This window comes from Homo sapiens, chromosome X, assembly GCF_000001405.40.
Source record: "Homo sapiens chromosome X, GRCh38.p14 Primary Assembly".
Lineage (NCBI taxonomy): Eukaryota > Metazoa > Chordata > Mammalia > Primates > Hominidae > Homo > Homo sapiens.
Window position 1 is genome coordinate 110,821,690 of NC_000023.11, and position 17,142 is coordinate 110,838,831.

The 17,142-nt window shown below is 38.0% G+C and overlaps 1 annotated feature.

The window, feature by feature from the left end:
- Window positions 294-847: an enhancer, noted in NCBI's record as "NANOG-H3K27ac-H3K4me1 hESC enhancer chrX:110065211-110065764 (GRCh37/hg19 assembly coordinates)". NCBI's record gives its function as "activates a minimal SCP1, AML or CMV promoter by ChIP-STARR-seq in primed H9 embryonic stem cells {active_cell/tissue: H9 hESC(primed)}" and the evidence as "EXISTENCE:reporter gene assay evidence [ECO:0000049][PMID:30033119]".

Consider the following 17,142-nt stretch of genomic DNA (forward strand, 5'->3'; position numbering starts at 1 on the left):
CCTTTGGTTTGAATGTCCTCCCGTAGCTCAGAGTAATTTGATAATCTGCAGCCTTCTTCTCTCAGCTCGTCAAAGTCATTCTCCATCCAGCTTTGTTCCATTGCTGGTGAGGAACTGCGTTCCTTTGGAGGAGGAGAGGCACTCTGCTTTTTAGAGTTTCCAGTTTTTCTGTTCTGTTTTTTCCCCATCTTTGTGGTTTTATCTACTTTTGGTCTTTGATGATGGTGATGTACAGATGGGTTTTTGGTGTGGATGTCCTTTCTGTTTGTTAGTTTTCCTTCTAACAGACAGGACCCTCAGCTGCAGGTCTGTTGGAGTACCCTGCCTTGTGAGGTGTCAGTGTGCCCCTGCTGGGGGGTGCCTCCCAGTTAGGCTGCTCAGGGGTCAGGGACCCACTTGAGGAGGCAGTCTGCCCGTTCTCAGATCTCCAGCTGCGTGCTGGGAGAACCACTGCTCTCTTCAAAGCTGTCAGACAGGGACATTTAAGTCTGCAGAGGTTACTGCTGTCTTTTTGTTTGTCTGTGCCCTGCCCCCAGAGGTGGAGCCTACAGAGGCAGGCAGGCCTCCTTGAGCTGTGGTGGGCTCCACCCAGTTGGAGCTTCCTGGCTGCTTTGTTTACCTAAGCAAGCCTGGGCAATGGCGGTCGCCCCTCCCCCAGCCTCGCTGCCACCTTGCAGTTTGATCTCAGGCTGCTGTGCTAGCAATCAGCGAGACTCCGTGGGCGTAGGACCCTCCGAGCCAGTTGCGGGATATAATCTCCTGGTGCGCCGTTTTTTAAGCTGGTTGGAAAAGCACAGTATTCGGGTGGGAGTGACCCGATTTTCCAGGTGCGTCCGTCACCCCTTTCTTTGACTCGGAAAGGGAACTCCCTGACCCCTTGCACTTCCCAAGTGAGGCAATGCCTTGCCCTGCTTCGGCTCGTGCACGGTGCGCGCACCCACTGACCTGCGCCCACTGTCTGGCACTCCCTAGTGAGATGAACCTGGTACCTCAGATGGAAATGCAGAAATCACCCATCTTATGCGTCGCTCACGCTGGGAGCTGTAGACAGGAGCTGTTCCTATTCGGCCATCTTTGCTCCTCCAGGAACCGCATTTTCAAGACCACCTTCTGAGTTCTAAAAATGCTTATTACTACTGGGTTTGTTGTTATGCCTTTTAAGTACAATACTCTATGAGTATGTACTGATATTACCAATTATACTTCGTATGACATAGGATTTTATTAAACTCTTCTACCTTACATCTATATCTCCTTGGGAATCCTTGCTCTCAAGGGTAGCAGTATTGATAGAATCAGACTATCACTCAATTGTTCATTTGCTTTATTCCATACAAAGCTGAAATGTACCTATGTTCTGGCCCAGCAAGTCTACTTCTATGTATTTATTCTGAGAGGAATGCTCTTCTATGCACAAAAAGAGGCATGTACCAGGATGTTCTTTATGGTCTTATTCACAGAAGAGGAAAAAAAATAAAAAACAACCTAGATGTTAATCAGTAGGGTAGTGGGAAAGCCAAACTTGGTGCTTCCATATTATGAAATACTTTGCAGCAGGATAAAAATGAAATTTATATATGTAAAATATTCAAAACATTGTTGGGGGGGAAGTGAGTTACAGGATAATAATAAATCATAGCATTTATTGAGGGCTTAATTTATGCCAGACATTGTCTCAAGTCCTTTATATGTACTAATTATTGCCATTGTCATAACCCTACCTATGTGGTTGGCAATATCATTATCCCCCTTTTACAGATGGAAAAACACAGGTACAAAAGTTTTGAAGAAATTCACTAAGGTCACATAGCTCATAAGTGCTACAATGTGGATTTGAATTCAAGCAGTTTGACAATAGAACCTATGATCTTAACCTCCATTTTATACCACCTATCTAATTTACATACATGAAACTCCAAAATTTTATATTAGTATGCAGACATATATACTTTATTTCATAGAGGAAGATCTGGATGGATGTGTACCAAACTACTAACGGCTACCTTGGGGGAAGATAATTAAATAGAGTGGAACAAGAGGGACTTTTGCTCCATCTACATAATTTGAAATTTTAGCAAGGAAAATAGAAAATATAGCCATGGTTTTTTTTTGGTAATTAGAATTTTTTTTGAAAAAATTGATGGGTTCTACTTTTGGTTATGGCTAAGTAAACTCATATTGGACCAACCCTCCTGAAGATAAAAATATAAAATCTGGACAAAATTTGAAAGGCAACTCAATTAAGAGACTGGAAAACAACAGAAAGCAGGCAGATTCTGGAGGAGAGTCACCAGCCAGGCAAAGAGAATGGCAAAGGGTTTAAGTCTCCTCTTTCACAATTTCTTGCCTGGGGGTAGGCCCTAATCTGTGCCATGGAAACAGCTAATGCTCTGATAGAAAACTGGCGGGTTTTTCTAGATTGAGTAGCAAAAGGATAGAGTTTGGGCCCACCAAGGCTGCTGGGAAGGGAGGAGGAATTATCAGAAAGCAAAGTGACAAAGAAGAGGAAGCACAAATTCTCTGAAGAAATTCTTCCCAACTCTCTGCTCTCTGGTTGACCTCTGAACTTTATAGGTGCAGGGAAGACTCCAAGCAGTTCAGCTAAAGGTAAACAAATTGATCTGACCTTAGATCAGTCAGTTTGTAGTTGCCTGCTAAAATAACAATATTAACATTCATTAGAGAAATATAGAATTACCCAGAGTTTCCACAATACAATATTCATGAAGTCCAGGATGCTACTCAAAACTATGTAGTATATGTATGAAGCAGCAGGAGAATATGACCCATTCTCAAAAGAAAAATATTCATAAAGACCCTCTCTGAAATGACTCATGTTGGAATTAGCAGACAATGATATTTAAGCAGCTATTACAACTATGCTTAATGAAGGAAATATGCTTACCATGAATGTAAAAACCAGGAATCTCAGCAGAGAAATAGAAACCATAAAAAGGGAATAGGTGAAAATTCTAAAACTGAAAAATACAATATCTGAAATTTTAAGAAATCTAAATGGGCAAAAAAGTGTAGATGACAATGGAAGGAGCCAGTGAACTTGCAGATAGATCCATAGAAAGTATCCAATTTGACAAAAAAGGGAAAAAAATCTTCAGAGACAAATGGGGCAGTATCAAAGTTCTAACTCATGTGTAGCTTGAGTTCCAAAAGGAAAGGAAAGAGAGACTGAAGCAAACTTCAGTCTTTAAAAAAAAAACTTTTTAAAGAAATAATGGGTGCAAATATCCCAAATTTGGTGAAAGACATGCATTTACAGATTCAGGAATCTCAGTAAACAAAATATACCATGAAAACCATGTCTAGTCAAACTGATGAAAAGCAAAGATAAAATCTTGAACATACCCCAAAACAACCAGAGAAGATAATACATTATATCAGGGAACAATGTTTCTGATAATCTAGAAATGATTTAGATGTTGGGATTAGAAGACACTGGAGTACAAAAAATAATATAATGGGATACAGTGGAATAATATATTTTGGGGGAAAAATCTCTTAACCTAGAATTTTATATCCAGAGAACTTATCCAACAAGACAGAAAGTGAAATAAAAATAGTTTTACATAGAAGAAAACAAATAGACATTGTCTCCAGCAGATCTGTACTTCAAGAAATGATAGAGTTATTCAGGTGATAGAGTTTGAATGCATGTCTCCACCAAATCTCATGTTGAATTGTAATCCTCAGTGTTGCAGGTGAGGCCTGGTGGGAGATGTCTGGATCATGGGGTCAGATCCCTCATCAATGGCTTGGGTCATCTCCTTGGTGATAAGTGAGATCTTGCTCAGAGTTCACATGAGATCTGGTGCTTTAAAAGTGTGTGGCACTTGCCTCACCCCCTTCCACGATCTCTGTCTTGCTCCTGCTTTTGCCATGTGATGTGCCTGTGCCCCTCTTTGCCTTTTGCCATGATTGAAAGCTTCCTGATGCCTCCCCAGAAGCAGTTGCCGCTATACTTCCTGTATAGTCTGTAGAACCCTGAGCCAGTTAAACCCCTTTTCTTATAATTTACCTAGTCTCAGACATTTATTTTTAACAGTGCAAGAATGGCCTAATACATCAGGCTAAAGGGGAAATTATACCAGATTGAAAACCAGAATCTTCAGAAACGAACGAAGATTACCAGAAATGGTAAATATCTAGTAAATATAAAAACAATTTTCCTCTTAATTTTCTTGAAACACATATGACTGTTTAAAGCAAAGACTATAACATTATTGTGTGAAATTTAACATGTATATAGGTCTGATTTATCCAACTGCTATAACATATAGATGATAGTGGTGTCCTTATAAGAAGAGAAGAAAAAATGCAGAGACATAAACACATGAGAGAAAAATGCTGTGTGGTGATAGAAGCAGATATTGAAGTGTTGCAGCTGCAAGCAAAGGACCACCAAGGATTTCCAGCAAACCACCGGAGGCTAGGAAGAGGCAAGGGAGGATTCTCCCCTACAGGTTACAGAGGGAACTTGGCTCTAACTACATCTTGATTTTGGACTTCAAGCATCCAGAATTGTGAGACAATACACTTCTCTTTTAAAAGTCACTCATTTTGTAGTATTTTGTTACGGCAGCCCTAGAAAACTAATGCAGATATTATACAAAGTCTGTTTTCTGACCATGGTTGAATTAGAAATTAATAATAAGATATCTGGATAAACAAAAAATGTTTGGAAATTAAGTAACACATTTCTAAATAATCCATGGATCAAATCACAAGGGACATTAGAGAACATTTGAAACTGAGTGATAATAAAAATACAACCTATCAAAATTAATGAGATGCAATTTAAGATATTCATTGAAGGAAGCTTATATTAAACAATTATAGTAGAAAAGAAGAAAGGTCCAAAATCAATAATATAAATTTCCACTCTAAGAATCCAGCAAAAGAAGAACAAATTAAACCCAAATAGAAGGAAGGAAATCATAAAGAGCAGAAATTGATTAAATAGAAAACAAATGAAAAACAGAGAAAAATAATAAAACCAAAAATGGATTCTTCACAAAGATCAACAAATTTGATAAACCCCTAGTAAGACTTATCAAGGAAAAAAATTAGAAAATATAAATTACCAATATAATAAATGAAAGTAGCGTTACCATTAACAATCTGCAAACATGAAAGTATATTATTAAGGGATTATTATGAAGAACTTCAAGCCAACAAATTTAATAATGCAGATAAAATAGACAAATTACATAAAAATACAACTCATCAATTATAAACAGCACCATATCTATTAAAGAAATTGAGTTTATAATCAAAAACTTTTCTGGAATAAAAATTCTGTGCCAGGATTGTTTCACTAATGAAGTCAAACATGTAATGAATAAACAATGCCAATCTTAACACAAATTTAGACAGAAATTAGAAAAGAAAGAAACATGTTCCACTTCATTTTTTGAGCACAACATAATGCCAACACCAAAATATGGCAAATATATTAAAAGAAATTTATAGACCAGTATCTCAAGAACACAGGTGCAAATCTCCTTAACACAGTATTAACAGATACAATCCTAGCAATATAGAAACAATATAATACAGCAGGACCAAGCAAGGTTTATCCTAGGAATTCAAGGTTTACATAACATTTGAAAATCAATCAATATAATTCACCATGTTAACAGTACAAAGGGAAAATTCATATAGTCACATCCAAATATGCTGAAGAATCATGACATAATCAGCACTTTTTCATGATTAAAATTCTAAGCAAACTAGGAATAGAAGGACACTTCTTCAATCTGATAAAGTGTATCTATGAAAAATGTACATCTAACACCATACCTAATGGTGAAATACTACATGTTTTAACCACTTTTAATCAACATTGCTTTGGAGATTCTAGCCTTTGCAACAAAGCAAGCAAATGAAATTAAAGGCATAAATATGAGAAAGGAAAAATTTGCAGATGGCATGATTTCTTACATAGAAAATCCTAAAGAATTTTAAATAACTACTGGAACTAATAAGTGAATTAACAAAATTACATAGTACAATGTTAGCATACCAAATCAACTGCATTTTTTATACTGGCAAATGATTGGAAAGTGACATTCAGAAATCAATTCCATTTGTAATAGCATAAGAAAACATAAACTACTTAGGAATAAATTTAACAAAAGATGTGCCAAGAACTCTAGACTGAAAAAGCTCAAAGCTTAATTAAGATAAATTAAAGCTCTAAATACATGGATGGAAATACCATATTTGTATCTTGAAAGACTTGTCTTAAGATGTTCATTTCCCCAAAATGATCTAGGGATATAACCATATGCCAAACATAATCCCATCTGGCTCTTTCATAGAAATGTACAAACTAATTCTAAAATTTATTTGGAAATACAAAGGACCTAGATATCCAAAGCAATCTTAAAAAAAATCTCAGGAATGGAAAACCAAATATCATATGTTCTTACTTGTATGTGGGAACTAAGATATGAGGATGCAAAAGCATAAGAATGATATAATGGGCTTCGGGGACTCAAGGGGAAGGGTGGGAGGAGGGTGACGGATAAAAGGCTACATATTGGGTGTGGTGTACACTGCTAGGATGATGGGTGCACCAAAATCTCAGAAATCATCACTAAAGAATTTATCCATGTGACCAAAAACCACCTGTTCTCCCAAAACTATTGAAATTCAAATAAAATAAACTGGATCTTTCGAATACCACTTTAACTAAATAAAACCAATTTTATTAGCAGTAAAAACTCACCAGAAATACCAGAAAATTTCCTATACTTGACTTCAATGTTTATTGTAAAACTACTGTAATCAAGACCATATATCATTGGCATAAGGACTGACAAATAAGGTGATGGAACAAAATATAGAGTCTACAAATAGACACACACTTATATAGTCATCTGATTTTTGACAAAGATGCTAAAACAATTCAATGAGAAAAGTAAAGAATCCTCAACAAATGGTGCTGGAAAACTGGATATACAAATAGAAACTTAATCTCTACCTCAAACTACATATCTTAGTCCATTTGAGCTGCTATAACAAAATACCATAGACTGATTGGCTTATAAACAACCAAAATTTATTCCTTACAGTTCTGGAGGCTGGAAAGTCCAAGATCAAGGCACTGGCAAATTTGGTGTCTGGTAAGGCCCCACTCTCTGGTTCATAGATGGCTATCTTTTCACTGTGTCCTCACATGGTGGAAGAAGTAAAGAATCTCTTTTAGGCCTCTTTTATAGGGAAACAAACGAATCCTATTCATGAGGGTCCCACTCTCATGACCTTATCACTTCCCAGTGGCCCCTCCACTGAATACCATCACTAGTGGATTATAATTTCAACATATTAATTTGGGGGGAACATAAATATTCAGACCATAACACCATACAAAAATTAATTTGCATAGGATTACATATCTAATGATAAAACTTAAGCCATAAAAATTCTCGAAAATATAGGAGCATATCTCTATGAACCAGGAGTAGGCAAAAGTTTCTTAGGACACAGAAATAATTATATAATAAAAATTGATACATTAAACATCATCAAAATTAAAAACAGCTTTTTATCAAAATACACCATTAAGAAAATGAACAGACAAGCCACATTCTAAGAGAAAGTATCCCAAAGCATATATCAGATAAAGAAATGGTATTCAGAATATATAAAGACAAATAACCTAATCAAAACAGGCAAAATGTTTAAACAGAATCTTCACAAAAGATATGTGAATGACCAATAAGCACATGACTATGCAGTCAACATCATTAGATATCAGAGAACTGCAAACTAAAATCATACTGTGATACCAGTAGACACCCAGAAGAACAGCTAAAATTAAACAGACAACACCAAATGTTGGAAAGGATGCAGAGCAACTAGAACTTGCATACATTTTTTGCTGGGAGTATAAAATGGTATAACGACTTTGGAAAAATGTCCAGCAGTTAGTTATAAATGTGAATATACAGCAACCTTATTATCTGAAAATTCTATTTCCAGGTATTTGCCCAAAATAGATAAAACATTTGTCCATGCAAAAACTTACATATGAATACTCATGGAAGCTTTATTCATAATACTTCTGAACTGGAAATAGTTCATGTGTTCATTAATATGTGAATGGATAAAACACTGTGATATAGGCATACAGTGAAATACTACTTAGCAATAAAAAGGAATGAATTATTGATATATGCAATAGCATGGATGGATCTTAAAAAATTATGCTGAATGAAAGAATTATTACACAAAAGAGTGTAATAAACTGTATGATTTCATTATATAAACTTCTAGAAGAAGCAAAATTAATCCATGGTGAAAAAAACTGTGGTTGCCTGAGGCAGAGATAAAGGTGGGGGTTGAATGGAAAAGGGCATGAAAAACTTTCTGAAGTCATGATAATGTTTTACATCTTGAAAGGGGTTTTGGTTACACGTTTGTATCCATTTGCCATAACTCACTGGTGGTTCAATTAAGATTTATGTATCTCAATTTTATGTAAATTTAACTTCAAAAGAAAAAGTACCATAAACAAATTCTGAACTTTAGTTGATGATATGCATGCTGAAGTATTTAGGGAGAAGTGTATTACTGTCTGCAATTTACTTTGACATGTATCAAAATAATAATATGGATTGATGAATGGATAGCGGGATAGAGAAATTAAGTTTGTGATAATGCAAAGCACAATAAAATGTAAATTGTAGAATCTAGGTGTTGGGTATATGGACGTTCACTGTGAAAGTCTTTCAACTTTTCTGTATGTTTGAAAATCTTGGTTAAAAAATGTTGGAGAGAATAATGATGGTTGTGTTGATTCATTCAGGAGTACCCATGATCTCCCCACATCTCTTTCTGTGAATGACTTCTCCATGCTCACTCATATTTAGTATCTGAACTTCCCCCTCCTGTTTTGTTTTCCAGGTTATATCTTACCCCCCATATACAACCATGACTTCCATCCCCATCACTAAGTTCATTTCAAACTGTCCTCTGATAAGGGATGTAGTCAGCTTGTCTGCTGGATCTCTTCAAGGGACCTGCTCCATCTGATGAAACCTTCCATTTCAAGTTCTAAAACCCTTCCCTGGCTCCCACTAAAAAGGATTAGCTTCTAGGGCCATTACTTTCAGAGATACAAGCTCACAGTACAAAGACAATTGCATTGGACACACAGAGGTTTCCATCCTGGCTTGTAGAGTTAAAGATGACCTTGTGTGGAGTTTCTGTGCTACCTTATATCCAGACTAAATATGAGAACTTCAGTTTATTGCAAAGCTAATTTGTATAGATATTGGGGCCCAGGCAGTGTTATGAACACCTTCCCAGACAAGTTATGATATGCTTCTTTAGGAACCAGGATTAAGTCCAATGGCCTTAGAGGAAGTCCAGCAGGCTTGATCACTTGTTCTTTTCCTAATGGTGCACCCAAGTGATGGCTGTGAGCTATACTCAAAAGGAAATAGCTCTCCACAATGGCAGTATATCTAGTCCAATGGTTCTCATTCCTGGCCACACATTAAAATTACCCAGGCACTAATTTTTTTTTTAATTTTATTATTATTATACTTTAAGTTTTAGGGTACATGTGCACAACGTGCAGGTTTGTTACATATATATACATGTGCCATGTTGGTGTGCTGCACCCATTAACTCGTCATTTAGCATTAGGTATATCACCTAATGCTATCCCTCCCCCTCCCCTCACCCCACAACAGTCCCCGGTGTGTGATGTTCCCTTTCCTGTGTCCATGTGTTCTCATTGTTCAATTCCCACCTATGAGTGAGAACATGTGGTGTTTGGTTTTCTGTCCTTGCGATAGTTTGCTGAGAATGATGGTTTCCAGCTTCATTCATGTCCCTACAAAGGACATGAACTCATCGTTTTTTATGGCTGCATAGTATTCCATGGTGTATATGTGCCACATTTTCTTAATCCAGTCTATCATTGTTGGACATTTGGGTTGGTTCCAAGTCTTTGCTATTGTGAATAGTGCCGCAATAAACATACGTGTGCATGTGTCTTTATAGCAGCACGATTTATAATCCTTTGGGTATATACCCAGTAATGGGATTGCTGGGTCACATGGTATTTCTAGTTCTAGATCCCTGAGGAATCACCACACTGACTTCCACAATGGTTGAACTAGTTTACAATCCCACCAACTGTGTAAAAGTGTTCCTATTTCTCCACATCCTCTCCAGCACCTGTTGTTTCCTGACTTTTTAATGATCACCATTCTAACCGGTTGAGATGGTATCTCATTGTGGTTTTGATTTGCATTTCTCTGATGACCAATGATGATGAGCATTTTTTCAGGTATTTTTTGGCTGCATGAATGTCTGCTTTTGAGAAGTGTCTGTTCATATCCTTTGCCCACTTTTTGATGGGGTTGTTTTTTTCTTGTAAATTTGTTTGAGTTCATTGTAGATTCTGGATATTAGCCCTTTGTCAGATGAGTAGGTTGCAAAAATTTTCTCCCATTCTGTAGGTTGTGTGTTCACTCTGATGGTAGTTTCTTTTGCTGTGCAGAAGCTCTTTAGTTTAATTAGATCCCATTTGTGTAGTTTGGCTTTCGTTGCCATTGCTTTTGGTGTTTTAGACATGAAGTCCTTGCCCATGCCTATGTCCTGAATGGTATTGCCTAGGTTTTCTTCTAGGGTTTTTATGGTTTTACGTCTAACATGTAAGTCTTTAATCCATCTTGAATTAAATTTTGTATAAGGTGTAAGGAAGGGATCCAGTTTCAGCTTTCTACATATGGCTAGCCAGTTTTCCCAGCACCATTTATTAAATAGGGAATCCTTACCCCATTGCTTGTTTTTGTCAGGTTTGTCAAAGATCAGATAGTTGTAGATATGCGGCGTTATTTCTGAGGGCTCTGTTCTGTTCCATTGATCTATATCTCTGTTTTGGTACCAGTACCATGCTGTTTTGGTTACTGTAGCCTTGTAGTATAGTTTAAAGTCAGGTAGTGTGATGCCTCCAGCTTTGTTCTTTTGGCTTAGGATTGACTTGGTGATGCGGGCTCTTTTTTGGTTCCATATGAACTTTAAAGTAGTTTTTTCCAATTCTGTGAAGAAAGTCATTGGTAGCTTGATGGGGATGGCATTGAATCTATAAATTACCTTGGGCAGTATGGCCATTTTCACTATATTGATTCTTCCTACCCATGAGCATGGAATGTTCTTCCATTTGTTTGTATCCTCTTTTATTTCCTTGAGCAGTGGTTTGTAGTTCTCCTTGAAGAGGTCCTTCACATCCCTTGTAAGTTGGATTCCTAGGTATTTTATTCTCTTTGAAGCAATTGTGAATGGGAGTTCACTCATGATTTGGCTCTCTGTCTGTTATTGGTGTATAAGAATGCTTGTGATTTTTGCACATTGATTTTGTATCCTGAGACTTTGCTGAAGTTGCTTATCAGCTTAAGGAGATTTTGGGCTGAGACGATGGGGTTTTCTAGACATACAATCATGTCATCTGCAAACAGGGACAATTTGACTTCCTCTTTTCCTAATTGAATGCCCTCTATTTCCTTCTCCTGCCTGATTTCCCTGGCCAGAACTTCCAACACTATGTTGAATAGGAGTGGTGAGAGAGGGCATCCCTGTCTTGCCCAGGCACTAATTTTTCAAAGGCTTCCCAATGATTCTAGTGTGAGGTCAAAGAAGGAAGATAATTCAGTCAGGATGCACTGGTATAGCCATACAAGTTGTGAAAATATTGAGATATTTTCAAGTGAATTGGTAAATGCCCTGAGACCCAAGTGCCCTGGAAACCTCATCTCCTCCAGCTCAGAACCCCTAGACTTTCTCATAATCAGTAACTATAGAGTTAATGCCTGGCCCTGAAGGAGTCCTCCAGCACAATGCTTCCGCATTTAGCCAGATTCCATTCTAATTAATCAGTACCCAGTACAGTACCCATTATTAAATATTTTGAATACCCCTCCTGCAACCAGTGTTGAGAACCACTGATCTAGTCAATTCAGACAAGCGTCTGAGCATTTTACCTGTTCCATACCAAATAACTAGTTTGACTATATTTCTACTTCTGTCCATGCACATAACTAGGTTTGACCCTTAAGAAAGTCATTTCTGGGCTCTGAATCCCATGTGAACAATGACAGGATTGAACTAGGTCCTCTTTAAGGATGCTTCCAACTCTGAAGTGCATGGTACTGTGATTCTGTGAATCATGAATTCCGCAAAGCTAAAAAAGGCTCCAAGAGAAGTGAGAGCAAAATGGATTCAGACTCCTGTACACTAACGCAAGCCAGCTAACGAAACCCCACAGTGCATGTTAATTGTATACTGCTCTTCTTAGAAGACATCATTCTTTCCTGAAGCTCCCCTCTCCCCTGCCTCACCAAGTTATAGGCTTGGAACTTGAAACCTGAAAATGAATTATACTTAACTTGGGCCAAAGATGCAAATGTGATTAGAACTAAATTTAGCCTATCCACTTTTAAAGCATGTTCCAGACATTTCCATTTACGACTTCCATGGTAGTGACTTCCACAGAGGAGTGACATACAGGAAAACATAATCCATTTTACTTGTTTTATGTTTATTTGCCATTGGTTTCATTGAGTAACCCCCTGTTCGTGGATTATAGAGAAAAGGAGGAATCAGTTGATTTTTTTGGCCCCTCCAGAAATTTAAGCAGCTTCAAGCTGTCCTCTCCCATTCTATGCCTCTCTTGGCCAAGTGTTTCCTTGATTTTAGTCTCATAGCAATCTTCATTTCTATGGCTCTTCAAGCACAGCTTGCTTTATCTGGATCTCTTAACTTTTCACTTGCTCTTTTTCAAGTGGAACTTGAAAACTTGGAACTGTGTTTACAAGAGCCCACAGTGAGATTGTTAGCTGGCAATTATGAGTTCATGCAGTCATTAGTGAACAGGCTGAATTAGCCAGATCACTTGTCTATGCTGACAAATAAACAACATAATTTCCAAATCATTTCGTGTAGCTGAGGTATAATTTATCATATATGCTAATAACTCAGAAATATACGTCTATAGTACTGGTCTGTCTTGTTGCCTCATGGCCTACCCTATTGTCTCTCAAAGTAGCAAGCTCAATTCAAATTGTACTGTGAAACCTCGATGGAAAACTCAGAGCCCCTACCTTCATCTCCATCCCAATTGCCCTATGCCAATACACTAAATACTCCCCTATGCCTCAGTACTGATTCCTCTCCATATCCCCAAGCTAGATGCCAATAAACAAATATAAGATGATAAGATAACAGTGCAAGGAAAGATATGATTTATTACACAGTCAGGGTAGGGAGGACAGAATTGGAATGGAAGGAAGGGCTTCGTTCCACTTAATCAACCAAAGGCCTGGTTTGTCAGGGCTACCCCTCAGCAAACATTTGGGGAGCTGGCCAGATTGTTCTTTGACCCCTTTCCCTTTGCATCATCCTGGGAGTGTACCATTTTCCCTATATGAAATTCCCTTCCTCACACCATGTATCAGAGATTTTACTAGTGTGCTTTGTGCAAAGACCACCAGGAGCCAAGTCACTTAAAATACTATTAAAATGCAGATTCTTGAGCCCTAGCAAGATGAATTGATATAAAATAAAACTGAAGAACTATTGCCTTTTATTTGTTTTGCTCAATAAGCAAATGGAGCAATTGCCTTTTACTTTAGAGGGCTGCTTAGAGAGCATTTCCATTTATATAGTCCATCATCATTTTCAACTCAACGTATCTAAACTTACTCTTCTTCCATTCTAAATTGCTTCCCTGCATCAACTCTTCCATGTACATCAGTGGCACCACCATACTCCCAGGATCCCAGAATCAAACCTCAAAGTCAACAGCAACAAACTAGGATGAATCCATTGTTTGTTCCTATTTTTGTTGTTATTTGTGATTGGTCTTTTTTTCCATGCATGTGTCGGGGGGTGGGGGGGGGGTCATAGTAGATGAAAGCTTGTTATCATTGCATAGACACTGTCGCAGCATAATTTTTTATAGCACAGTCTCCAAGCCCTCATCAGGCATGTGCTCTTCGGAGAAAACTTGGAGTCTCCGGAAATTCTGTTACAAGATCCAAACATCTTATAAGGCACTAATTAGAGTAGGGCAGGGTCTCAACTACTCTTCCTCTGGGTCAGTTTCACTCAGATCCATGAAATTGCTCCTCCCATGTGGAATCCCAGAGGCCACTCATTATCTAGCTGAAGCCTCTCTTTGTTAATGTCAAAGTGAGAAGCCTTCCACTTCATTATCTAGCAAGTGCTCTTCATTACTACTAATCAAAAGTTTCCATTTATGGAGCACTTACTGTGTACCAGGAACTGTTTATTCTAAAGACTTTACAAGGTTACATAGGCAGGCAGTGCAGTGTTGGGATTCAGAGCCAGTCAGTGTGGTTGCAGAGTCCAGGTTCTTAACCATCACATTATGTACTGCTAACTGTTGACAGCCTACAGGATCTAGGCTGTGCATGAAGCTGAAAGCTGTCTGCCTCCAAAGAATCATCAAAACCTCCTCTTTCTGTTACTTCTGGCAAAATGGTGCAAGTCTGCTACTAGGGAGTTGGCAAAGCCCTTAAAAGGGCTCCTGCTGCTACATACATATGTAGTAAAAGAATAAAGAAACCCACGGAATAGCAATTTCCTAATTTAGGATGGAAGTAATCTCTGGAGTAAAAGGAGGGGTTGTGATCAGAGAGGCACATGGGGGCTCCAACTACATTGGTAATAATCAATTTTCTTAGTCTGGCTAATGATTAAACAAAAAGATATACATACCTTTTGTATGTCTTTAATATTTCATAATAAACTATTTCAAAGGGCTCCTAGTGATCTCTCTGTCTCCCCTAATATAGCAAGTATTGAGCTTGCTATACTAGGGCCTGAAAAGTCTAGAAGTAAGGATGCAGGATTCTTGCTCTTCTCTTGCCTCACAAGGAACAATCCTTAGATTTACAACTTTCACTTCCTCTTACCCATTGTAAGCCTATTTCAAGATCTGGCAATAAGAAGTTGCTTAATATAATGTATACTCATATCCTATAATCCTAGAACTCCAGATCAAATAAAGGTTGATGAAAAAGAGGAATGAGGAGGGGCCTGTGGAGAGCTCAAGAGGTAGAGGGAAAACAGTAAAGTAGAGAAAAAAGAGAAGAGATCAGAAGAAAGAAAAAAGATGGGAGGAAGAAAAAAAGATACAGGGAAGAGTAGAGAGAAATGAACCAAATAAATTTCTGTTCATTCTAAGTTACTCAGTCCATGGTAGCTGACTGTGCTGCTATTCTGTTACAGCACCAGAAAACAAACTAAGACAGCCACCACCCAGGAATCCTTGGAAAACCCTAGGCAAGGATTGCCAGGTAAAGGTTAGGTGGGATACCACCAAACCACCTCATATAGGGAGAGCTCTCTCTTTGAAAGATGGAGCTCTTCTCTCAGGAAGCAATTGCTTTTCCTCACAGGACACAAGGTGGCAGCAGCAGCAGCAGCAGCTGTCTGATGAGGACCCTCTGGGCAGTCTCTGGGGCCCCAACAGCAGGCTGCCTAGTGGATTAGGGAGCTTTTGAGGCTGGCTTAGTGTTGCAAGGAATGGACGAGCCACAGTGTGGCACACACTCTTTCCTGGGATCAGATAGGAACTTGTGCCATCTACCCTGTTTGGATTCACAGGGTTCAATTTTGCATCAAGACATCCACATTCAGAAAAGACTGATCCAGTCAGTCTCAGTCCCCTGGACCCTTTTTTTCTAGGAGTACTAGGCAAAACTTGCAGAAAAGACTATTTGATACAAGACTCTAGTTCTTCCTCTTCCTGAGCTGCACATTATCCCCCAAGGGGCCTTTTTCTGGTCAAACACTCACTGGTCTTCATGGTTAGAAAAGATTTCAAAGATAATTTCTGTATAAAACTCCACTATTAAACTTCATTCCCAATGTCCCTTCAAAATGACAGCTTTTTAGTATCCCCTGGGGCTTCTCAGAAAGCCAGATACAAAGAGGCCATTTCTAGGTATTAAGACTCTCTGTGTATATATATATATATATATATATATATATATATATATATTTCAAATACCAAATATGTTTCTCATATTGTGCTATATTGCTATGTTTTCAATTTTTATGTGGAACAAAAACACACTTTTAATTTTAAAAAGACAATGCATTAATTTGTTTCTATCTTCTCATAAAGAGTTAATGATTAACATATTTTTTGACTGATTCCAATGTTCTGAATTTTTGCAGCTAAATGATGTCACAGGATTTTTGATGTATCAGAGACGATTTTGCCAATTAGGGGTTTGGCTGATGACTGTGCGTCACTCATAATCTATAGCTTAATTCTAATTTAAATATTTCACCACAGATGGCAATGTTCTACAATACAATTGTAGTAGTCACAAGATAATTGCCAGGTTAAAAAAAAATCACAGTGCAGGACAGGTAGTGGGTCTGCTGATGAGACTGTAAAACAGAAATAAGATCATAAGCCCCCCAGCTGAATGAACCACCTCCTCTTGGCCAAGGGAACCTCAGAGAAACCTGAAAAATGGAATTCCTGGCTGTGATGGGAGGGAAGGTCTGACATAACTCATTATATCCTCTCCTTTTTGGAGGTTGGGCATAACTGACTAGCATTAACATTAAAATAGAGGTCATAAAGCTGACAAAACAGATTGTTTGTGATAATAAGATACCAAATTCAAAGCTGACTATGGCATGGCATCACATGATAGATAGCAGGCCCTGAAGGAAATCAAAATATTTTACCCCAAAATAGATTTCTTTGATATATTTTAAACAGCCCTGCAAAGCTGTCTTTTGTGGGACAAATTTGCATCTATAGAGAATCTTCATTAATGAAACCAGGCCTTCCCTTTCTAGGCCTTTCCCCGATCGAGATGAGATTAACTAAGCATCTGACATTCTTTAAGTCCAAAAAGAGATATTCACCATCTATTCTCTCTGAAGGCTACTGCCTACAAGGCTTCATCTACATGACAGGAGCCTTGGCCTTCATAACCTCCCTTATATTAACTCAATCATTTCTTTCTACTAACTTCAAGTATTTAGACAAAGCTTAGCTCTTCCAACCAATTGCCAATCAGAAAATATTTAAATCCACCTATGAACTGTGGCACTTCC